The sequence below is a fragment of the Homo sapiens genome, chromosome 1 (genome assembly GCF_000001405.40).
Source record: "Homo sapiens chromosome 1, GRCh38.p14 Primary Assembly".
In the NCBI taxonomy this organism is placed as follows: Eukaryota; Metazoa; Chordata; class Mammalia; order Primates; family Hominidae; genus Homo; species Homo sapiens.
In genome coordinates this window covers 144663837-144689078 of record NC_000001.11, presented here as the reverse complement: position 1 = coordinate 144689078, position 25242 = coordinate 144663837, and the positions used below count along the sequence as shown (strand labels likewise).

General features: G+C 37.6%; 1 pseudogene across 1 annotated transcript in view, besides 1 other annotated feature; it reads right to left on the bottom strand.

The window, feature by feature from the left end:
- The window catches only part of KMT2CP1 (lysine methyltransferase 2C pseudogene 1), a 26056-nt pseudogene extending 814 nt beyond the window's left edge, over positions 1-25242 (bottom strand). Inside the window, exons 1-9 of the transcript NR_136328.1 lie at positions 25192-25242; positions 24876-24992; positions 19242-19343; positions 18945-19049; positions 13069-13233; positions 12709-12835; positions 11618-11727; positions 11057-11109; positions 9565-9777 (exon numbers count right to left, since the gene is read on the bottom strand). The product of NR_136328.1 is annotated as a lysine methyltransferase 2C pseudogene 1 (transcript). The remainder of the gene's footprint in view (positions 1-9564; positions 9778-11056; positions 11110-11617; positions 11728-12708; positions 12836-13068; positions 13234-18944; positions 19050-19241; positions 19344-24875; positions 24993-25191) is intronic.
- Positions 15823-16324: an enhancer, noted in NCBI's record as "NANOG hESC enhancer chr1:148884967-148885468 (GRCh37/hg19 assembly coordinates)". NCBI's record gives its function as "activates a minimal SCP1, AML or CMV promoter by ChIP-STARR-seq in primed H9 embryonic stem cells {active_cell/tissue: H9 hESC(primed)}" and the evidence as "EXISTENCE:reporter gene assay evidence [ECO:0000049][PMID:30033119]".

The following is a 25242-nucleotide window of genomic DNA, read 5'->3' as shown; positions in this document are numbered from 1 at the left end:
GATTTTTCCTTTGGGGAATAATTTGGAATGAACCCAGAAGACAAGAGGAGGAAGAGAGCCCCCCACCCCCCCCCACCCCCAGAGAGTTGGAAGCCTCTTCTTTGCAGGGCACTTTTACAGTCTTTCTCTTTTTCAACCTTGAGAGGGGTGGATACATAGCTCAGTGTTGAACAGAAAAGGAACTGACGGGGCCCAAAACCCAGACTGAAAAAAAAAAATGATGGAAAACAATAAAGAGGGAAAACAGTGTTCCTGAGCTCTGAGTGCACCTCCCAGCTGACAAGTTGCATTTGTGAAGTGTTTCGGCCTCTGCTGGCGTTAAGCTCAGCTGAAGGCAGCTGGGAGAGAAAGGGATGTGACAGCAGCCAGCTGCACAGCTCCGGCTGCGACCTGCTGGCCCAGACACCTGCAGCATGGTGAGGTCTAGTAACAGACTAGACTTTCTCCTCCCTTCCTAGTCTCCCCCTTCACCAAATGCACTTGCACCCTGGACCAACACCTGCAAGTGGCCCAGCTTCTCAGACTTAGGCTGCTCAGCCTACACAGTCCCTTCCCCCAACCTCTTTCCCCTTCAGTGCTTTCTGCCGCTGGAGAAGGCAAGACCATCTGTCCAGGTGCCTAAACCTGAAACTGAAGAGCCATCCTCACCTTCGGTCTCTCCTCATCTTCTAGGAGCTGGATCACTCCTCTGGCCATGGACATCCCTGTCCAGAATTGTGCCTCCTCCACCCTGTTTGAAGGTGGCACTCTCCTGGCCTCCAGGCTCTGCCCTGACCCTCTGTCTTCCCAGAGGCAGTGATCTTTCCTGAATGTGACTATGCTCCTGTCACTTCCCTGATGAAACACCCTCAGTGTGTTTCATGATCAGCTCCCTGTGGCCCCTGTTCCTCTCCTGGAGAGGAGAGGAACTAAAAACACAAAAATACAAAAAATTAGCTGGGCGTGGTGGTGGGTGCCTGTAGTCCCAGCTACTCCAGAGGCTGAGGCAAGAGAATGGCGTGAACCTGGGAGGCAGAGCTTGCAGTGAGCCGAGATTGCGCCACTACACTCCAGCCTGGATGACAAAGCAAGACTCCATCAAAAGAAATGAAGAAAAGAGAAGAGAAGAGACGAGACGAGGACAGAAAGAAAGACAGACCGGAAGAAAAGAAAAGAAAAGAGAAAAAGACCATATCACCCAAATATGAGAAATTCTCCCATATATACATACTTGTATCTAGATGACTAATCTCTGGAAAGTTATAAGAAAACACTGGTTCTTTCCAAGGAAGGGATGGCCAAAAGGTAGGCTAACTTAACATTGTTCACTCTTTTTAAGACCTTTGTATTTCTTGTATCATGCACAGGTATTGCCTATTCAAAAACAAACCTACAAAACAGGGAAAGACTGAAAGCTTTTCTTCAATATCTGCTACAAGGCAAGGATGCCTACTCTTAACACTTATATTCACCATAGTCCTAGCCAGAGCAATCACATAAGAAAAGGAAATAAAAGGCATCAGCAGAAAAAAGGGGGTAAAATTATCCCTGTGTGCAGATGACATGATCCTGTATGTAGAAACCCCTAAAAATTCCACAGTTACTAGAATAAATGAATTCAGTCAAGTAGCAGGATACAAAATCAACATACAAAAATCAGATGCATTTCTTTATACAAATAATGATCTGAAAAAAAATCAAGAAAACATTTCCACTTAAAATAACATCAAAAAGAATAAAACACCGAGAAACAAATTTAATGAAGGAAGTGAAAGCTTTATATACTAAACACTATAAAATACTGACAAAGTAAACTGAAGACACACAGCCGGGCATGGTGGCTCACGCCTGTAATCCCAGCACTTTGGGATGCCAAGGCAGGTAGATCACCTGAAGTCAGGAGTTCAAGACCAGCCTGGCCAACATGGTGAAACCCTGTCTCTACTAAAAATACAAAAATTGGCCAGTCGGGCATGGTGGCAGGCACCTGTAATCCCAGCTACTTGGGGGGCTGAGGCAGCAGAATTGCTTGAACCCAGGAGGCGGTGGAAGTTGCAGTGAGCTGAGATCACACCACTGCACTTCTGCCTGGGCAACAGAGCGTGACTCTGTCTCAAAAAACAGAAAAAACTTACAGACACAAATAAATATAACGATATCCCCAAGTTTGTGGATTGGAAGAATATTGTTAAAATGTCCATACTATCCAAAGTGATCTACAGATTCAATGCAATCCCTATCAAATTTCCAAAGGCATTTTTTACAAAAATAGAAAACACAATTCTAAAATTTGTATTAAATCATAAAAGACCCTGAATAGCCAAAAGAATCTTGAGAAAGAAAAACAAAGTAGAAGGTATCACACTACCTGATTTCAACTTATATTACAAAGTGATAGTTATCAAAACGTATGGTACTGGCATAAAAGCAGACACATGGATCAATGGAACTGAATACAGAGCCCAAAAATAAACCCAAACATATATTATGAGCTGATTTTTGACAAGTCCAATAAGATACAATAGGGAAAAGATGGTGTCTTCAATAAGTAGTGGTAAGAAAACTAGATATCTATATGCAAAAGAATGAAACTGGACCTGATGCCTATCTTACACATCATACATAAAAAGCAACTCAAATAGATTAAATACCTAACACCTGAAACCATAAAACTCCTAGAAGGAAATATAGGAGAAAAACTCCTTAATATCCTCCTTGACAATGATTTTTTGGATATCACACCAAAAGCTCAGGCAGCAAAAGCAAAAATAAGCAAGTGGGACCACATCAAGCAAATAAGCTTCTGCATAGCAATAAAAAAAAATGGGGTAAAAAGGTAGCACAGGGATTAGGGGAAAATATTGGCAAACCACACATCTGATAAGGGGTTAAAATCCAAAACATATAAGGAACTCACACAACTCAGTAGCAAAAAAAAAAATCCCCAAATAACTGGATTTTAAAATAGGCAAGGACCTGAATAGCCATTTTTCCAAAGTCACACAAATGGTCAAATGGTATATGAAAAGATGCTCAATATCATAATCATGAGGAAAATGAAAATTAAAACCACAATAGATATCATCTCGTGTCTCTTAGAATGACTATTAACAAAAAGGCAAAGACATAAGTGTTGGTGAGGATGTGTAGAAAATGAAACCTTTGTACATGGTTGATAGGAATGTAAATTAGTATAGCCATTATTGAAAACAGTATAGAGTTTCCTTAAAAAAAATACAACTACCATAAGATCCAACAATGCCTCTGTTGGGCATATATTCAAAGGTAATAAAATCAGCATCTGAGAGAGACATCTGGATTCCCACGTTCATGGCGGCATTACTCCCAATAGCCAAGACATGGAAACAAACTAAGTGTCCTAATGGACAATTTACTTACCCATTCAAGGACAGATGAATGGATAAAGAAATTGTGACATTTGTTTATACATATATTAAGTCCTCCCTTAATGTCATCAATAGGTTCTTGGGAACTGAGACGTTAAGCTAAATGAACATACAGCAGGTCCTCAAGTAACACTGTTTCCTTCAATCTAATTTTGGCATAATGCAAAATGAAAAAAAAAATCAGTTTTGTCATACTTTTTTTCCCCTCTTAACCACAGTTTCTAAGAACTTACTGATGACAATGAGGACTTTATACAATGGAATAGTTAGCTTTAAGAAAGGAGATACTGCCATTTGTGACAACATGGATGAACCGGGAGGAAAGTATGCTAAATAAAGTAAGCCAGACACAGAAAAATACTGTATGATCTCACTTAAGAAGCAGAATGGGAGGCCGGGGGGTGAGAAGCTGAATGTATAGAGAGTAGAATGGTGGTTATCAAGAGTCTGGAGGTAGGGGATGGGTGGGATGGGCAGAAGTAGGTCGGAGGGTACAAATCTGCAGTTAGGTAAGATGAATAATTCTAGAGATCAAATTAATACACAGCATGAGAACCATAGTTAATAATATTGTGTACTGAAAATTTGCTGAAAGAGATTTTAGGTGTACATACACAGAGAGTAACTATGGAAGGTGAAGGATACAGACATTTGTTTGACCATAGTAATCATTTCACTATGTATACAAAGCATGTTGTATACCTCAGATATGTATAATAAAAATAAATGAAGAAAAAAACAAAAAACTGTATCCTACCTGCCAAAAACAGTTTCAAATGCATTATGTCTTTGGATTTAGCATGGAATTCACCTTTGCAGGCCCACTTACCTACAACATTATAAATATACCAGGTGATTCATTGTACTATTCACAGTAAAAGATTGAAAGAACGCCGGGAGTGGTGGCTCACGCCTGTAATCCCAGCACTTTGGGAGGCCGAGGCGGGCAGATCACGAGGTCAGGAGATCGAGACCATCCTGACTAACATGGTGAAACCCCGTCTCTACTAAAAATACAAAAAAATTAGCCGGGCGTGGTGGCGGGTGCCTGTAGTCCCAGCTACTCGGGAGGCTGAGGCAGGAGAATGGCGTGAACCCAGGAGGCGGAGCTTGCAGTGAGCGAAGATCATGCCACTGCACTCCAGCCTGGGTGACAGAGTGAGACTCTGTCTCAAAAAAAAAAAAAAAAAAAAAAAAAAAAAGATTGAAAGAAACCCAAAGGTCTATCAACAGGGGAAAGAACAGGTAAATTAAATTGCTTATATTTCCATACAAAGGAATATTTGCAGCCATAAAAAAATGAAGGACAGTAAAAAGTAGTAAGACAAAAGGAACAAAATATATATACACACACACACACACACTATATATATATATAAACACACATTTCCTTGTACATGCATAAAACACATCTGGAAAGTTACACGAGAAACCTCTGAGGTTTCTGGAGATGCAAACTGGGGGCATGAAGGCAGGGGAAAGGGAGAGACTTCACTGTTTACCTTTTTATTATTTTCCAATTTTAAATCATTTGAATGTATAACTTGTCTAAAAATCAAATTTTAAAAGTTGAGGGAATTAACATTACAGAAAGTAACAAACCTCAAGGAAGCAGCCACCTTCACCAGATGGACAGTCTACCTCACTCTTCCCACGCTCCAGTAGTTACTGAATGCCAGTCCCCTCCCTCCATTCAGTCTGCCCAACCTGCTGGCCTTCTAGAGCCTCAGAGCAGTCCTATTCCCACACCTCCAAACACATCCATACACTGTGATGGTCGATCTGGGACCACCAGTTGAGAGGAAATGTGTTGTGTTTCCACTCTTCAGACAAACAGAGTGTTATTTTATTGAGGTTTGGGATTTTTTCTTGCATTAACAGGGTTTCTAGATCCCAGTAGGTGAATGAGAAAGAAGTATGCTTTTATTGCATAAGGAATTTGTTTCTGATACACCAAAGTGATGATGTATGACTTTTCTTAAAGAAGTGGTTATTAGAAGAGTTAAAAATCAATAGAAACAAAAAGTCATAGGTATTGTTCCAATACTCCAGGAACATCACAATTTGGATTCTGTAGATGTGTGTAATATAATGTGTAATATTACATTCTGACAACCTCAAGTTGAAAACTGCACAGCTGAAGATCACTTATAGTCAATAACACTTTTCAAACTTTAATTTTAAATTCATTAAGTCTCTCCCTAATGTATCGTACTTTTTAATAAAGGAAACTGTCAGATACACTATAATACAGAGGAAAACGTTTATATACTCTTTCATTATAATTTTTCCACAACTTCCAAAATGAAGAAAAAGACATGGAAACATTAAGTTCAGAGAATAATTGTGGCAGACAATTCCCTCCTCCTGAAAGTTCAATTACCCCAACACAGGCAAAATTTCTTACTAACTCAAAAGGAACTGAATTCACATATAAAGACAAACGTGGGATTCTGTTGAGTTCTGTTGGACACAGAACACAATTGCTCAAGCACTGGTTGGGCACCTGTATTCTAATAGCTCACGATTACTGAGCACTCCATGTCTGGGAAGAGCCAGTGCTGGGTGCCTGGCATGCATCCTTGCACCTCATCAGCACAACTATCCTATGGGCTCATCCTGGTTCACCTATTTTATAAAAGAGAACACTAGAATCAGAGAAGTTAAAAAATTTGCCTAAAAACATCCAGAGTAGGTTTCATCATTGCCCACTACTTTATAATGCTTTCCCAAGGGTACTGAGACGTTATCAAAACATGTTAGTGAAACAGTCTAAAACATCACAAATTTTAGGTTTAATACAAAATACCCAGAAAAGGGCAGCGTTATTAGAAATCTCAGCATAATGTAATAATAAGAACTTATGATGATTGTATTCTTTTCCTATTTTTTCTCCCGTACAGGCATATGAAATACCATAAAACTTATTTTAGTGGTGTGTGTGTACATGTAGTTTCAGGATAATATAGTAATCTAGAACATTTTTAATATGGCAAAGTTTGGCAATACTAAATTTTTAAAAAGGATTTTTATTTAGCAAACAGAAAGCAAAAATGTTGTCCAAGTAACATGCATTTATTTTATCCCTAGGAATGTACCTTTCCTTCTGCAAAGGATGTGAGATCCTGGCATGTAAAGGAACGTGAGGGACTAGTCATGAAAATACTGTATATTCAATTCCTTAAATTCTAAAATTGTCTTAGCATTTAACATCTAACACACTAAACAATCTTTTTTCATATTCAATAAAAATAAAGACAAATTCAGTAAATTCAGATGGGCTATTTTATCACGTAAATTTTAAAAAAGCAAGGGTAATTTTTCAACTGATTTTCTTTTACCATGATACGAGTCAATGAGAAAATATGAAATTGAAACATATCACCATTTCTCAGTGTTTACAAGTGGTAAGTCACAAGGAAAACCTTCCAAGATCTTCTGTGTTGTTTTTAAAAGGTATTATAATCACATAATTTGGGAAACAATGTGTACTATTATCAAGAAACCTTTCATATTTTGTGAAATGGAGCACTTCCCAAATTTAAGAGACTATGGAAACCTTTTTCAGACATTTTTTAACATCCTCAGAAATGGAAATTCTTGTTAATGCTGATCTGATCAATTCCTCCAAGTATATGGACTACTTCTTTGCAAACTCCAAGCCCCCAAATCAAATTACCTGTTCAACTGTATCTGAAAATCAGTTACATACAAGCATCAGAAAGTGTTTCTCCCAGCAACATAGACCCAAAACACACTACAAAACAAAAATTATCAAGAACATACAAAAGACATATCTTTTCATGTATTTATTTATTTTTTGAGATGGAGTCTCACTCTGTCACCAGGCTGGAGTGCAGTGGCTCGATCTTGGCTCACTGCAACCTCTGCCTCCTGGGTTCAAGCAATCCTCTGCCTCTGCCTCCCAAATAGCTGGGATTACAGGTGCCTGCCACCACGCCCAGCTAATTTTTGTATTTTTAGTAAAGACGAGGTTTCACCATGTTGGCCAGGATGGTCTTGATCTCCTGACCTCAGGTGATCCACCCGCCTTGGCCTCCCAAAGTGCTGGGATTACAGGCATGAGCCACCGAGCCCGGCCACAAAAGACATACCTTTTCAAAGCCACAATTACCTCTCACCTGGACCATTGTTTCTCACTGATCTACCTGTCATAACTCTTGCACCTAATCATCTACTTATATCATAGGAGAGTGTTCCTCTTAAAATATAAATAAGATCATGGTGTTCTTCTTTTCAGGAACATTCAATGGCCTCCCATTCCATTGCTATTAAGCACAAACTACTGACACATCACCTTATGGTTGTGTGAGATATACTGAGCCGTCCTTCTTGTCCTCACATCTCTAATCTTCTCACCTTCTGACTGTCCCCTCTGCTCACTCTGTTGGTCTCCACAACACTCTTCAAACATGCTCAGCACACTCTCACCCAGAGCCTTTACACTGGCTTCTTCACTGTCTGGGGTGCTCTTCTCTCAGGTAATCAAGTGGCTCACTCACTCACCTCTTTAAAATCTGTGCTCAAATACTGCTTTCTGTTCATATGGACCCTAAACACCTGTCTGTACTTCCAATTCCTTTTTTTTTTTTTTTTTTTTTTTTGGAGACGGAGTCTTGCTCTGTTACCCACGCTGGAGTGCAGTGGTGCAATCTCGGCTCACTGTAACCTCCGCCTCCCAGGTTCAAGCAATTCTCCTGCCTTGGCCTCCTAAGTAGCTGGGATTAGAGGTGCATGCCACTGAGCCCGGCTAATTTTTGTATTTTTAGCAGAGAACGGGTTTCACCATGTTGGCCAGTCTGGTCTCGAACTCCTGACCTCAAGTGATCTACCTACCTCGGCCTCCCAAAGTGCTGAGATTACAGGCATAAGCCACTGTGCCTGGCCAGGCAATTCCTCTTTATCAAACTTTATTTTTACCATGGAACTTGCCAAACACATTATAATTAACTGATTTTTTTTAAGAGTTGAGTTACCTAACATTAAAATATAAACTCTATGCAGAGAATTCTACCTGCTTTGTACACTGGTATGATTTCCAACATCTGACATACAGTAGGTATTCAATAAATTCTATTGTCTAAAAGCCGGCTGCAGTGGCGCATGCCTATAGTACCTGCTACTTGAGAGGCTGAGGCAGGAGGATCACTTGAGCCCAGGAGTTGGAAACCAGCCTGGGCAATGTAACAAGACACTGCCCCTTAAAAAAAAAAAAAAAAAAAAAAAGCTATGAAATAAAATGTAATGGAACAGAAATAATTATCACTTCACTTCTGAATCAGTTGAAAATAAATAACTGCCCCAAAAATGAGGAAACCTACAGTAATCCTCTTTAATTCATATTGGATTTTAGGTTACTATTAAAATATTTTGCTATCTCAAGAATTCAGCAGGCTGAGCAGAGCAGATGGCTTGAGCCCAGGAGTTCAAGACCACTCTTGGCAAAATGGCAAAACCCCATCTCTACAAAAAAATACAAAAATTAGCCAGGCGTGGGGGCCCACATCCATGGTCCCAGCTACTCAGGAGGCTGAGGTAGGAGGGTCGCATGAACCCAGTAGGCAGAGGTTGTAGTAAGCCAAGATCATGCCACTGCACTCTAACCTGGGCAACAGAGCAAGACCCTGTCTCCCAACCAAAAAAAAAAAAAAAAAAAAAAAAAGAATTCAGCTAGAAAAACCTTATATTTACTTTGATTAAGAAAATGTTTATAAACCAATACTTTATGATGCACACTGGTGAATATGAAGTTATACCTGAAGTAATATTAAATGACAGCTTTTCCATTTCTAGAATGTATGCCTCAACTACCTTAACTTAAACATGGTATTATCCAAGCTCACAGTATCTGAGAAGGTTTGTGTCGTTATCTAGCAAACTAAAGTCAAGACCTCTGTATTTCCCCACCTGTGATCTTCAAAGATATGGTGCTCCTTGAGATTTCTGTAAGGTAGGTCTGTTCTAAAATGTGTGAAAGGAAGAGAACCCGAAAAGGCAAGGTCTAAGAAGATCACTCATTTGGAGATGGCAAGGGTCACATCGGGGTTATCTAAGTCAGTGTGATTTACCCTTTGGTAAACCATACACATATTTCAAAAGTTACTTTATATGCTGTAATTCTTGCACACATATTTCACGGAAAATAAATTAGTATTACCTCGACTATCATCCATATCACCATCCCTTGAATGTTCTGATTGGATGTCTGGAGGGGTCTGAAGGACGGCCACGCTATTCTGATTTATAATCTTCAATTTCAGTTTTGGTTTTGACAGTTTTCTTCTTGGAACTGTAACTGTGAGGCTCTGTAACTGAGTCTTCCCTGATTCAGTCAAACACACACCATCCTGGGTATAAGTCTTGGGTGGGTCTAAAATTACAAAATCCCAAGAATACAAATTTAAACTTTCATTTTAAATTTGACTGATTACTGTTCCAAAATACCCATGTCAAGGGAATGTGACTGTAGTTCTAGAAAGTAATTACGTATCTATGAAATGCATGAATAATTAATTTCATGATACCCAATAAAAACTAGGAACAATAGGTCAAACTTCCTTGGATTATAGGCAGAAATGTTACATGTTTTTAAAAAATGGTCTTCCTGGGCCCGTTGTGGGGGCTCATGCCTGTAATCCCAGCACTCTGGGAGGCCGAGGCGGCAGGCAGATCACGAGGTCAGGAGATCGAGACCATCCTGGCAAACACAGTGAAACCCTGTCTCTTCTAAAAATACAAAAAATTAGCCCGGCGTGGTGGCGGGCACCTGTAATCCCAGCTGTGCGTGAGGCTGAGGCAGGAGAATCGCTTGAACCCGGGAGGCGGAGGTTGCAGTGAGCCGAGATCGTGCCACTGCACTCCAGCCTGGGCAACAGGGTGAGACTCCGTCTCAAAAAAGTCTTCCTGGCATTTTTATGTTCATGTCCCAATAAAAAGAGTTAGAAGCACTGCAAATATATGCAATGCTCAGCTAATCCACTATGAGCTTTTTCCTGGAAAAGATCAAAAGGCAGGGATCTATTTACACAAGAGAAGAGAGAATACTCCAGAAGCTCATCTGGAAAAATCAGAGTATCAACATAATTACTAATAGGGAGAAGTAATAAATAAGTACAAATCCTGCAGATTTAATTTTAAATGTACAAAACTGTTGTTCCTTAGAACAATTTCTGTACTATCCAAATGTTTTTGTATCAGGTGCTATTAAATACAAGTATTCAAAAGAATGACTGTTTAATAAGAATATCATATTAATCACCATACTAGGCTTATTAATTATTTTAAAAAATTAAGAGATTGAATTAATTCTAAAAGAAATCTGCTTGCTAACTAGGCCGTATTTTCTGCTAACTGATAATTAAGCACAGTAATATATCAATGAAACCAAAGCAAGTATGGCATTAATGGTTATTCTAAGAGCTGTTATTTTTGTTGCCAACTTGCTGAAATTTATAGGAATACTGCCCCAGTAAAGCTGGATGACATTTTATATATCATTGTGGAAATGATTACCAACATTACAGAATTTGGATAGAACACCCATATGATTGAAGCAGATTTTACAAGTGGTAAGCCAATTATGTAAAAATTAAGCAAAGTAAATTAATTAAATTAAGTAAAGCATTTCAAATTTTAACTAGCTCTTTTACTTTTGTGACAATTTGTGCTACAAGTGAAGATCCACAGCAGTCTGAGGAAGGCACTGAAATGAAAAAAAAAAAAATCCAGGTAATTCTTTTCAGAAAAGGTAGAGTGTATTTACATACTTACATATGATTAAAATTTCTGTTTCTATACTCATTTTATTAAAATAAATGTTTGAACACTAAAGTTAAAAGCACTTTTTAAAGCAACAACAAAACAAGAAGTGATGAAGGAAATACTCAAGTCATGGAGGAAAACCTGGCTAAGAAAGAATCAACACATTGGATTTTAACATATTGTCAATAACTACAAGATCATGTTCCTTGGAAGCAAAATTATAGTTTACATCTAAAGTATATGCTTTTTATTGTTTCATGTAAATTGTTTTATAACAAGTTGTGATAAGTCATGTATAACCAACAATAATATTTTTCATAAAATACTTGTCAAAGTAAGTTTCACAAAGACAAAATAGAGTAGAGCTAAGCTAATTCATTGGTTATGGACAGTAAGGTGCAAGTGAGTGGTACAAGAGTGCAGACTCACAGTTTAAATTATTCTCTTACCATTAGACGCAGGCATATAGGGTCTGCACATGTTACAATCAAAACCAATGTCTGCTACATTTTCCACTTCTTCCTCAGTATTTAAGTTCTGACGAACTGCATGCATCCATCTAAAAAGACCATATTTGTACATTTTTTTAAAAAAATGGAATATACTGAGAACTGCTACCTTTTAAAACCTGTAACACTGAGTCATCAAACTTAAAAGCCCTAAGCCTCACATGCTCCTCCTACCTTGCCCTTTTCTCCTAACTATCCCTATTAACAGAAAAACTTTCATAGAGCTAAGGAGGAAATAAAAAGGAATGAGAACAACTATTAGAGAGGAAGCAAAGCACATTACATAAGGAAGCTAATTATTTTATCATCATATATTAAATATTTCAAAGACAGCAAGGAAGCTAGTTAGGGCAAACACAAAGGTATTCAGAAAACGGCAAATGGCAGTGCTAGCATATATGGGCTCCAGGCAATGCATCTAACTTGAAGTAGACATATATCATGGAAAGCGATGTTGAATGGTAATTGGGAAATAAAGTAAAAAGTTGTCTTGCAATGGAACAGATAATTAGTAGCCAGAGTCCCAAGAATACTGTACTACTGATAAAATAATACTATCAATATATGTTCACTGCTTAACTTCTAAAGAGTACAACAATATACCAATGAAAGCAAGGAAACATTCTTGATTTTGAAATTCCACATAATTACGTAGGGAGGGCAGAAGGTGCTATCTAATACCTAGATATCTAGTATCTAGAGCTTTAAGAGAAAGTGGTTTAAGGAGAACAGAAAGTGTTAGATATTTTTTATAATCTATTAAAAGATTCAGAAACCCTTCATAAGAAACAGCATAGATGAAGGCAATAATTCTCCATCTAATTTCAAGGGATTCCTAAACCCTCAAAAAGGCCTAAATTAAAAATCTTCAGTCTTGGGTGGACACAGTGGCTCACACCTATAATCATAAAACTTTGGGAGGCTGAGGCGGGTGGATCACAAGGTCAAAAGATGGAGACCATCCTGGCCAACATGGTGAAACCCTGTCTCTACTAAAAATACAAAAATTAGCTGGGCGTGGTGGCATGCACCTGTAGTCCCTGCTACTCCGGAGGCTGAGGCAGGAGAATCGCTTGAACCCAGGAGGCGGAGGTGGAGTTTGCAGTGAGCCGAGATAGCGCCGATGCACTCCAGCCTGGCGACAGAGCAAGACTCTGTCTGTAAATTTAAAAACAAAACAAAACAAAACAAAACAAAACAAAACTTTAGTCTGGAGTTGAGAGTTCAAAACAGGAAATCAATTCTGTAAGTTTCTAGGTGACTAAAAATCTACAAGGCAAAAAGCTCTGTACCTAAAACTTGTGATTAAGGAAAAGCTATTTTCCTTTTTTTTTTTTTTTGCTACATTTCAAAGAGAAAAGCTTTAAAAAGATGAAAAAATAGCACAATACCTATCACATTGTCTTCATTGCAGAATAAGATCTTCTTCTCTATAGTTTCAATAGCAGACTGGACAGGAAGATAAACTTGCACAAGGAGCGCACTGTGTGTAATTGTTCTGCCATTCACATCTTAGACCTGCAGATGTTGCTCCACAGTGTCTGCACCAAACACACCTGAAATCCAAATCCCCCCGAAAAGTCTCAATTTTATTTTCTTAGTTATTCAGTTACTGTAATTCAGGAAGCTACATACGAACATAATGGGGCAAATGATTTAATGTGTATGTGAAAATTTTTCTGATTAGTGGTATCTATCATAGAATATGTGTATTATTCAATTAAATAGGTATGGCTAATTTTTAAAAACTAAAGTGGTATGAGAAAGCTCTGAACTTGAAAGACTAACAAGGCAAACAAACCCTAGAGAACCATTTGCACTTCCAGTCTCCTTTGGGAACTGTCTGCAATGGAGGGTCTAGGCAGTAGGTGTGATAACTTATGTCACAATCATCACACAGCAGGAATCTTCCTGGGTCAGTTGCCTTCCCACAGGCCTCACACACAGTGCACTCAAGACACCTCCAACCTTTGCTAAGAACCACTTTAGTGATCTGTAAAAGAAACAACCAATCCATGTGATTTATGCATTAACCTAACATAATCAAATATACTATATAAATTAATATGGTGCTTATGTACCTAGAAGCAGAAAGGGGCAATCAACTAACATTTATTGAGCGCCTACGGAGGCCCAATACTGGGTTGGGCATGTTCATACACGCTTTTAGGAGGCTACTGAGCAGAATAATAGAAAATGGCACATATTTTAATGCCTTTTTAAAGTCCACATAATTACCTTATGCTGTACATTTAATGTCCACTGTATTTATAGATATAGTGACCAGATTTTAAAGAAATCAAGTAAGCTTCACTATTATTGATACATAATTTGAAAATACATCAACAAAATCTCCATCTACATTTCCATGCTTAGAATCAATAGAAAAAATACCAAAAAAAATAATGTAAAGCATGAGTTCTTAGGGACATTTTATGATCTTAGAAGATTTCTATTTAGACTATGAAGCTAGGAATTCTGAAGTTCACATTCACTCCTCTGTTTATTCTCCCCTCTCTCAAGGGTATAAGTTAGCAGAATATTTGGGAATTTCCAAATCCCTAACAAACTCCTGAAGGAAGCCACACCATGTAATATTAAGATTGCGGAACTTCTTAAAGATCTCAAAAGACTAGGATCCTCAGACAGAACCAATCAAGTGCCCACATTATAATGAAACAGCAAGTAATGAGGGTACAGAATAAAAATTCAGATCATGAGGTACAAGAAAGCCTAAAAGCTACCAGAGAAGAAAATAAAAGAGTTAAATTCAAAGGAACACCCATCAGAATGGCACAAAACTTCCCAACTCCAGATGCTAGAAGAGTATAATCTTCCAATTCTACAGGAAAATACTTTTCAAAGTACAATTCTCAACCTAGCTACACAAGCAACTATGTGTGAAGACAGAATACGTTGTAGACACAGGAAGACTCAAAATTCAGCTCCTTCATTCTCCTTCTAATAAAGTTACTTAGAGATATGCAGAACAGAATGAGGATGTATTACAAAGAAAAGGAAGACTTGGGATCTATAAATCAACAGATCCGACAAAGGACATCAGGCCAGGGAAGTTTAAGGATGAGAACAACACACCCAGAAGCCACTGGCACATATCAGAGCAGGAGAAGGGAATGTCTAGAAAGAGGGTAGGACTTCTCCCAGAAAAAAACAGTACTTTAAAAAATAATCTTATATGATAGTTCTATAGTAGGCAAAAACAAAGTACGAATGGAGAGTCACTATTACTTTCTTGTTATTAAAAACTCCATGAAAGACAAAAGAAACTCATAGTATACTGTTTAGATCTGCAGTGAACATTTACTGAGTCATAACCAACACCTTATTAATTGAACTAAACATAGTAATACAACTATATTGGGAGAAGGAAGGAGGTGTATTTTAAGACCTAAATCAGAATTTATTTATTCACAGCAGAAAGTCAACAAAATCTAGCATTGATAAAGCAGTAAACCAGTTGATTATTTAGAGCTATAGCATTAACCACAAGAAAAAAGACCTGAAAAGATTAAAAGTGATTCCCTCAGATGTGGACGTAGAGTAAGACAAGAGTTGGTTGCTCATTACAAGGCCTTTTTTTTTTTTTTTTTTTTTGAGATGGAGTCTTGCTCTGTTGCCTGGGCTGGAGTGCAGTGGTGTGATCTCAGCTCACTGCAACCTCCGGCTCCCATGTTCAAATAATTCTCCTGGCTCAGCCTCCTGAGTAGCTAGGACTAGAGGAATGAGCCACCACACTCGGCTAATTTTTGTATTTTTAGTAGAGATGGGGTTTTACTGTGTTGGCCAGGCTGGCTTGAACTCCTGCCCTCAAGTGATCCACCCACCTCGGCCTCCCAAAGTGCTGGGATGACAGGTGTGAGGCACCACACCTGGCCCATTACGAGGCTTTTAATGTCATTTGATTTTTAAACATGTATATTTATTATTTTGATTAGCTTATTGATTTTTAAGAATTTGTCTTAGATTACCAAGTTAGTATATTATTTGCCCAAATGAAGGAAATGGCCTGGGGTAAGATCAGGGTGGCTTAGAGCAGTAGCCAGCAAACATTTCCAATAAAGGGCCAGAGAGTAAACAGAAAGTTTTGAGGGCCATATGATCTGTTGCAACTTTATAAAAACTCTGCCAGTGTAATGCAAAAACCGCTACAAATATATGTAAACAAAAGAACTTGGCCATATTTCAATAAAAGTTTATTTGCAAACACAGGAAATGGGCCAGATTTAGTCTATGGGCCAGTCTGCCTGACCCTGGCTTAAACAATGACCTGAAGACAAAGTGGCAGACAGATCTGAGGTGTTTAGTGGCAGAATTTTTAAAATATTTATCTTCATTCCTACTAAGTTTTCTTCACAGATACCTGTGGTCCCTTTTACAACCAAACTCTCAAGTTTCTCCGCTTATATTCACTCTTCAAAACACTACAGTCTGGTCTCTACACCCACATCCACTCATAACTGCTTAAGCCAGGCTTGTCAAGACCTTCTTATTCTCAAATCTAATGGAAACATTAGTGTTTGTGTTTCTTGACTTCTAGTACTTCAACACTTCAACAATTTCTCTGTCTTTGAAATTTCCTTTTAACTTAGGTACTGGGGTTGTACTATCATTTTTTTCTTCCATTGAACCAGTTTAGCCTTAGTTTTAAAAGTTTTTTCAAATAAGATGTCATCCAGGATTCCATCCATGGTACCATGTCCAAAGTTGTTACAGATATGTTTTATAATCTAATACGGATACATGCTTCAACGATAATGGAGTATATGGGACCAGCCTGTTTTCCCATAAGATAGTAGAAAATTGGACAAAGTGTATGAAACAACTGTTTTCAGATATTGGACAACACATAGTAAAGGAGACAGTGGTCTCTGAGAGGAAGGAAACACTCAGGGAGTCCTATGATATTCTGCCTAGAAACATTTTCCAGAATGCTGCCCAGGGAGGGAGAACCTCAGCAGAGTACAATCAATGGCCTCGCTGAGGTTAGGGGAGGCGAGGCAGTGGAATTTGCAGGACACAGTACTCAAAATGAAGAAGCAATAAGGACTAAGAGCTCCAGAAATCTACAAAGGATCCCCTGAAGTCTTTGGTGGAACACCAAGCCGTACTTCTAGAAGCCCAAAGACCCACAACCAGGGGAAAGTACATCTACTGGGAATGTGTAAGCTGCACAATTACCAGAGCTTGCAAAAGGCTCAAAGACAAGTGAAGCACAACCAGTCAGAGTACAAAGACACTGGTGAACAGGGGGTAGAATTCAGTAGTGATCCCAGAAAGGCCAAGTCTTAAGTATAGGGTTAAACTAATGCTAGGACTGCAGCTACCAAAATGTGGACTAGGGAACCCCAGTGGGTCTGTAAAGTTAAAACAAGTTTAAATAATACTAAGATTTAATTTGCCTTTTTTCACTTTAATTTATTCACAATTATACAGTGGTGTTTATAGAAGCTACATGTTGTATCATAATATTACATTGACATTGTACAGGTTGTGCTTCTGTAGTCTTGTGTTACAAAATGTTCCTAGTTTTAATTTCTAAAATGCTGAATAGTCCATAGTTAAAATCCTCATGAACAAAAACTATGGCGTCCCCAGTAATTTTAAAGAGTGTTAAGGTTCTAAAACCATAAAGTTTGAAAATATCCACCTTAGAGTGAAGGCTTTCTAGACTTGCCCCAGCAAGCTTAAAAAGAAGCTTCAAAGGTATCAAACTTATCCACAAACAATTGCCTCCTGCAATAAAAATGCAAGCTGAGCCAATTCATATATCCCTAGTATATTTCTAGATACTGCTGTATTTCTCAATGAGACTGCAGTATTCTATACTGTCCAAAACAGTGTCATGTAAAAGGAACCACACATAATTTTTAAAAACAGGAATAACTAGGTGTCTGATAGTGCACTAATTGTCCAATCTTAACTTATGTAAGTCGTACTCATCTGTAAAATGGGAATTCGGTAATTGTTGGATGGGTTAAAAGAAATACATTACTATCTTGAAAGGGATCTTATTCAATTTCCTTAGGTCCAAAACATTAAGCATTCTAAAAAACAAAATCTAATGATAGCAGCTACTTTTATACAGAATATAAAGTACAAAGAAGAAAAGAAACATGTTTTATGCATATATAACTCCATTTTTAATTGGCTTTATATACTCTGTGTTTTTCAGTCACATAGCATGAGCAACTAATTTTAAAAAACTACAGAAATTAACCGTACTAGTCTTCTATTTTGGATAGTATTAATTACAATCTTTCATTTTGATTCCTAAATTCACAAAAACCTGTATTACCCTATAAAATAAATACTAGTGTAGTTATCAACAAAGAATTCTGAAGGAGATAATGTTGATTTGCTTACTATACTGACATTTTACTGACAATGATATAACACAGTGATGTCTGAAGGGCAGGGGAGAATGGCATAAAAATCACTCATGGTTCACAACCTATTATTGAAACTGAGGTTAGTATTTATATTACATGGTATGGCAATACTAGAAAAGATTTCCTTGTGGAGTATACAGTTTAAGACCTCTGCTGTACAGCTATACCTCCATGCTTGCTTCCAGTGGCCATGACACTTTATTCAAATATGTAAGTTTTATTAAGACTGAGTTCTTAAAAAGAAAAAACCAAGAACCTTAGATACAACTAGTGAAGTATTGAGACCTGTCCATATTTAAAACCAAGCACACGATACCACTTAAAAGGTTCCCCAGAAAGCCTCTATCCTGAAATGCTTGAAAGTGAGCAGTGCTGACTCTCGATTATTACCGATTGCATTAAATATGACACTTGTTTTCTTTCTTTTGGCTATAAGGAGAAAATGTCATTTTGTATATGAGTGAGCACAGAGGAGACAGAATGTGGGAAAGAACAGAATGGGATAATAATTTTTTACTAAATACTCCAGTTCTCAGCTTTATAAGTCAACAGACAAAATGAATCAGCTAAACCTAAAATCTTTGTGAATAGTATAAATTGTCTTTTAAATTAAATGCATATATTTTTATGTTTTACTTTTTCAAGACAAAAGCAGGATATTAGTACAATATAAGATTTATAGAGGAGCAAATTTCTTGAGATAGGAAACCCTTAAAAGCAGTATTTAAAGTACTTAAATACTGTCACATATGTTTAATAATCATAATACTTAATTGTGAGAACTGGGAGCTCATGTTACTACTAAAACCAAATAAAAATTCAATACATATTTGTTAACTCAGTTTAAGGATGTTTACCTTAATACTGACACAGTATGGATGGTAACACTGACCACACTGAGAACAGGCAAGTAATCTTCCTTCTGCTCCTTGGCCAAAACTGCCACAAACTACACATGTATCCTGAAGTTAAGAAAACAGAACATATTTTAAATGGAGACTAAGCTAAAAACCTACAAATTTTACTTTAAAAATACCTTCTTAACTAATATAGCTCTATAGCTAAATATTGGATCACTTCTGTGTATATGAGATAAAGCAGAAATGTGCAAGGAGGAATTCAATGAGGAAGACAGTAAATTGTCAAGTTCAAACCTGATTCAAAGTGAATTTGTCACTGCTAGAAAACAACACAACCATATCGAGCACAGAGTTTTCTTCATCATCCTTATTTGATGAAATATCTGCAGTAGACACCTATAAAAAGCAAAATACACAAAATACGAAGTTATATTTTTCACTTGTTTTACACTTAACTGGAAAGCTTCAGAAAATTCATAATCAAAACATATATTTTTGCTAAGGTCTAGAATAACAATTCCAAATATTAATGCTAAGATACTACAGCAAAATGGAGTCATGACATTTTATTATTCAACTCATTCTCTCTTTAGAGGTAGAATTCCTTTAGACCAAGAGGTAATGAGAAAATATAATAAACCTGTCTTAGTAAGACTTGATTATGCAGAATTCTAATCAAGAAACTATAAATGATAATATTATAGGTATGTACACCACAAATCTATCACTATTTTAATGACACACACTTGGGATCTGCAATGTAGTTAGTCTGAACTGAGATGTCCTGCAAACATAAAATACAGCACATAATTACATATTACATGTTGAAATGGTAATATTTTAGATATATCGGTCAAAATGGAAGGCATTAAAATTAATTTCGCCTGTTCACTATAACCTTTATTTTGTTTCGAGAGGAGTTTCACTCTTGTTGACCAGGCTGGAGTGTAATGGCGCGATCTCGGCTCGTTGCAACCTCTGCCTCCTGGTTCAAGCTGTTCTCCCTGACTCAGCCTCCCAAGTAGCTGGGATTACAGTTGTCCACCACCATGCCCAGCTAATTTCTGTATTTTTAGTAGAGACGGGGTTTCACCATATTGGTCAGGCTGGTCTCTTAACTCCTGACCTCAAATGATCCACTGCACCCAGCTCACTGTAACTTTTTAATGTGGCTACTAGGAAGTTTTAAATTGCATATGTGGTTCTCATTATATTTCTATTAGCACCGCTTTAGAATATTATTTTGAATAACATCCAAATTTCAGTATCAGCCAAATGATTATCAACCAATATTGTTCAGTCTGGACTTAGTTCTATTTGACTAAATCAACTAAGTAGCCACTGGTTTGTTAATAATTTCTAGAGTGATATGAAACAAAATAAAGCTCTGAACTAGAAGTTGTAGAAGAAGACAAGGAGGGCACTGCCAAAATCATAAAATACAATCCTCTTTCTTTAAAAAGCTTACAACCGAAGCCTGGAAAGACAGAGTTGAAACACAACAGGTTATGTTCAAGGTCAAAACATAAAACGACTGAATTACTTTTCTTGAGGAACAACTGAAAGATTAACCAGCTGGGTGTGGTGGCTCATGCCTATAATCTTAGCACTTTGAGAGGCTAAAGTGTGTGGATCGCTTGAGCTCAGGAGTTCGAGACCAGCCTGGGCAACATGGTGAAATCCTGTCTCTACCAAAAATACAAAAAACAGCCGAGCGTGGTGGCACACGCCTGTAGTCTCAGCTACTCAGGAGGCTGAGGCAGGAGAATCACTTGAACCCAGGAGGCAGAGGTTACAGTGAGCCAAGATTACGCCACTGCACTCCAGCCTGGGTGACAGAGGGAGACCCTGTCTCAAAAAAAAAAAAAAAAAAAAAGAGGAAGGAAGGAAGGTTGGTTGGTTAACTAAATAGAAGGACTATATCTCAGTATTTTTCAATACAAATACATTTAAAAGCAGTTTTTTTTGTTTGTTTGTTTTTTTGTTTGTTTGTTTTTGAGATGGAGTCTCGCTATGTCACCCAGGCTGGAGTGCAGTGGCACAATCTCAGCTCACTGCAAGCTCTGTCTTCACGGCATTCTCCTGCCTCAGCCTCCCGAGTAGCTGGGACTACAGGCGCCTGCCACCATGCCCAGCTAATTTTTTGTATTTTTAGTAGAGATGGGGCTTCACCATGTTAGCCAGGATGGTCTCGATCTCCAGACCTCACGATCCACCCACCTCGGCCTCCCGAAGTGCTGGGATTACAGGCATGAGCCACCGTGCCCAGCCTAAAAGCAGTTTTAATGGATAGTACTAATGCTTTATAAGAGCAATTTATATTCATATGAACCCTAATGACTACAAGTGTTAATAATGCCAATATTCATCATTAGGGAGTAAGTAAAGCCATGACAAATCCAAACATTAGAAAATTACGCAACATTTTAAAAGTAGGGAGGTAGAAACTTGTATAGACTGCCATGAAAGAAATTATCAAAAGACGTTGTTGATGAAAAAATAAATTGCAGAACAGTATTTGAGGTATAGCACTATAATATAAAAACATGCAAAGTCATTATATGTAGTCTATGGGCACATATAATAGGTTGAATCATAAGAAATTGCTGCTTTTCATCAGTTCAGAAATAATATTGGCAATTTCATATGGATCAACCTAATATATAAATATACCAAACTGGTAACAGGGAAATAAGGAGGACTTGAGGAGTTAGTAATGGTAAATTCTGATCTACCTATAACGCTTTAATTTTTTTAATAGAGAAAATGTATTGATGTGTTGTATGCATAGCATTAACAAAATTAGCTTTCTAAGATTTTAGAGAATCATCCAAGATGATTCACAAAAGTAGAATCATCATCACCAGTAAGAAACTAAGTGACTACTAAAAGTAATCATTAATTCAGTCATAGGACTAATGATGCATTGACAAGGTTATTGAGATATATAATTATGGAAATGGCTAAAATAGAGATAAAGTATCTATTTCTACCTCCCAACCACTAACAGAAAATTCAACACATTATACACACTGAGCAGCTCAAAGAAATTGTAAAGATCCATTATTATTTTTAAAAGGAAATTTAACCAGTGGATGCTTTCACTGAAAATGATAAACAATATATTCCCAGTATAAACCAGAAACAAAGTCTGCAGTAGAAAACTACAATGTCCCTAGATTCAAGTGGGGGTGGGGAGTCATATTTAAATAATAAGTGCAGAAAAACCAAAATATTTTAAAATAATTGTCCATGCAAGAAAGAAAACAGTATCCTCTAGCTTGAAGACCCACTGTTTTTATTTTATAATTTATTTCATGACCTTTAGACTGCTAGAAAAATAAAACCTAACTTGAGGGCAAAGGTAATCTTTGAGAAAATATGTGCTATTGTTGCCTGCATAGATAATAGTGTGATTTATCCAGAAGGTGATAGAAATTTCATTTTCCTAGACCACAGATATAAGCCAAGGAGAATAGAAAGCTCTGACCTAAACTTCACAAGTGTCCCTTCCAAGCAGGGACACGTAAGAGTAAACAAAAAAAGAAGATCAAACTAAACTCAAAGTGAGAAGATAGGAAAAAATAAAGATGAGAATATAAATCAATAAAACAGAAAGGGGAAAGAAAATAGAGAAAAGTCCATGAAAACAAAGGCTGACTCAAGAAGATCAATAAGATTGATAAATCTCTAGCCAGACTGATCAGGAAAAAAATAAGACAAGATACAAATTATTAGTATCAAGAATGAGGAAGGTGAAATCACTACAGATTCTACAGGTATTAAAATAATAAGAAACATTATGATCAACTCCATTCCTTTAATTTGTCAAGATAGACAAAATGAACAAATTTCTTGAAAGGTGCAAATTTATGCAAGGAGAGACAGATAACCTAAATAGGTACCTATTAAAGAAATAAAATTTGTTGTTAAAAACTGTCCCACAGGCTGGGCACCAGTGGCTCATCCCATAATCCTAGCACTTTGGGAGATGGATCACCTGAGGTCAGGAGTTCGAGACCAGCCTGGCCAACATGGCGAAACCCCATCTCTACCCAAAACACAAAAATTAGCTAGGCATGTTGGTGCATGCCAGTAATCCCAGCTACTCAGAAGGCTGAGGCAGGAGAATTGCTTGAACCTGGGAGGTGGAGGCTGTAGTGAGCAGAGATCACGCCACTGCACTCCAGCCTGGGCATGGTGGCTCATGCCTGTAATCCCAACACTTTGGGAGGCCAAGGCAGGTGGATCACATGAGGTCAGGAGTTCGAGACCAGCCTGGCCAACATGGTGAAAAACTGTCTCTACTAAAAATACAAAAAAAAAAAAAAAAAAAATTAGCCAGGCATGGTGGCAGGCACATGTAATCCCAGCTATCCAGGGGGCTGAGGCAGGGGAATCACTTGAACCTGGGAGGCAGTGGTTGCATGAGCTGAGATTGTGCCATTGCACTCCAGCCTAGGCAACAAGAGCGAAACTCCATCTCAAAAGAAAGAAAAAAAAAAAGAAAACACAACAAAAACCCCCCACAAAGAAAATTTCAGGCCAAGATGGTTTCACTAATAAATTCATGTATAATATAAGAAGATACATTTCCACTACTACACAACTTTTCCAGAAAACTGAAGATGAGAATATACTTTCTGATTCATTCTATGAAGCTGGAGTTATGCTGATACCAAAACCAGATGAAGACATTACAAGAAATTAAGACTACAGGCTGGGGCATGGTGACTCACGCCTGTAATCCCAGCATTTTGGGAAGCCAAGGTGGGAAAATTGCTTGAGCTCAGATGTTCGAGACCAGCCTGGACAACATAGTGAGATGCTGTCTCTATTAAAAATTTTAAAAAAGTAGTTGGGTGTGTTGGCACACAGCTATGGTCCCAGCTACTTGTGAGACAGAGGTGGGAGGTCAAAGCTGGAGTTAGCTATGATCGCACCACTGCACTCCAGCCAGGAATTAGAACGAGAACCTGTCTCAGAAAAAAAAAAAAAAAAAAAAAGAAGAAAAAAAGTGCACAGGTCTACAACCGTGGTGCATCCACAGTTTTATTAATATTCAGCAAGAAAAGGAAGTACACTGTTAACAAGTACAACAGCATAGATTAATCTCCAAATAATTGTGCTGAAATAAATCAGTCCAAAAAGCACACAGTTCTGTATGATTCCACTTATATACAACTCTAGAAAATGCAAACTAATCTTGGGGACAAGGACGGATGGCAGGGGGAATGCAGAAAATTACAGAGGGACATGAAGAAACGTTGGGAGATGAATATATTCACTATCATGATTGTGGTATCGTTTTCAAGGGTGTATATGTATATATCAAAGCTTATGGAATTGTACATGTCAAATATAGCTTATATCAACTATACCTCAATAAGCCTGGTTTTAAAATTTTTCTTTTTGAAAAAAGGACAAGAATCTAAGCTTCCTTATTCCTGGTTTAGTAGTAAACTTGAACAATTTCACCTGTCTCCTATACTTAAAATGACATTTCAGAATTTTAAAAACAGGATTTTAATAAAATAGCGAAGTTATTACATAAAATATTTGCTAGTAGTTAACAAATATATTTGTAATACACATATAAATAAAGCCTCGTAACATGATAGTAAGCAAATATCAATCTTAAAATTTTTTAAATAAAAGAGCAACTATATTACATACTGACTTTTTAGAGAGGGTTGGCATAGAAAGATAAGGAGTCAAAGAGGAAGGTAAGAAAAGAGAAAGGATGAGAAAGTAAATATACAAGAAAACGTAACCAGAGGCTCAAAAAAAAAAAAAAAGCAAAGTAGGACAGTAAAATAAACATTTTGACCTATTTATATGATTTTTAAGTTCAAAATAACTTGCTATGAGATTTTCATCATTAACTGACATTTAGATTAGAGAAAATATACATGAAGCAAGCCTCACCCCAGGCAATACAACAGCTCCGATTCCACTTTTCAGCTTTGACCTGCCTCGGCCACCTCGCCCCGACAGTCCTGCACCTCGAGGTCTCCGCTTTCCTGGAAATCCAGACCCATGGCCCTATGTAACAGATTAGGAAAAGTCAACATTCTGTGACAGCCCAAAATAATTTTTAAATCCAAATGCCACTGAGATAAAACATTTTATTAAATGTTATACAAACACTTCTTTAGATAAGTATTAAGAGACCTGGCTTATTATTTTTATCTTTAAAAGTATATTCCACAACTTAAAATTCTAAATATAAAATGCTTACAACCTTAGAATCATACTTTCGGGCTGTCACTGTGAACGCTATCAGCAAGCCTTT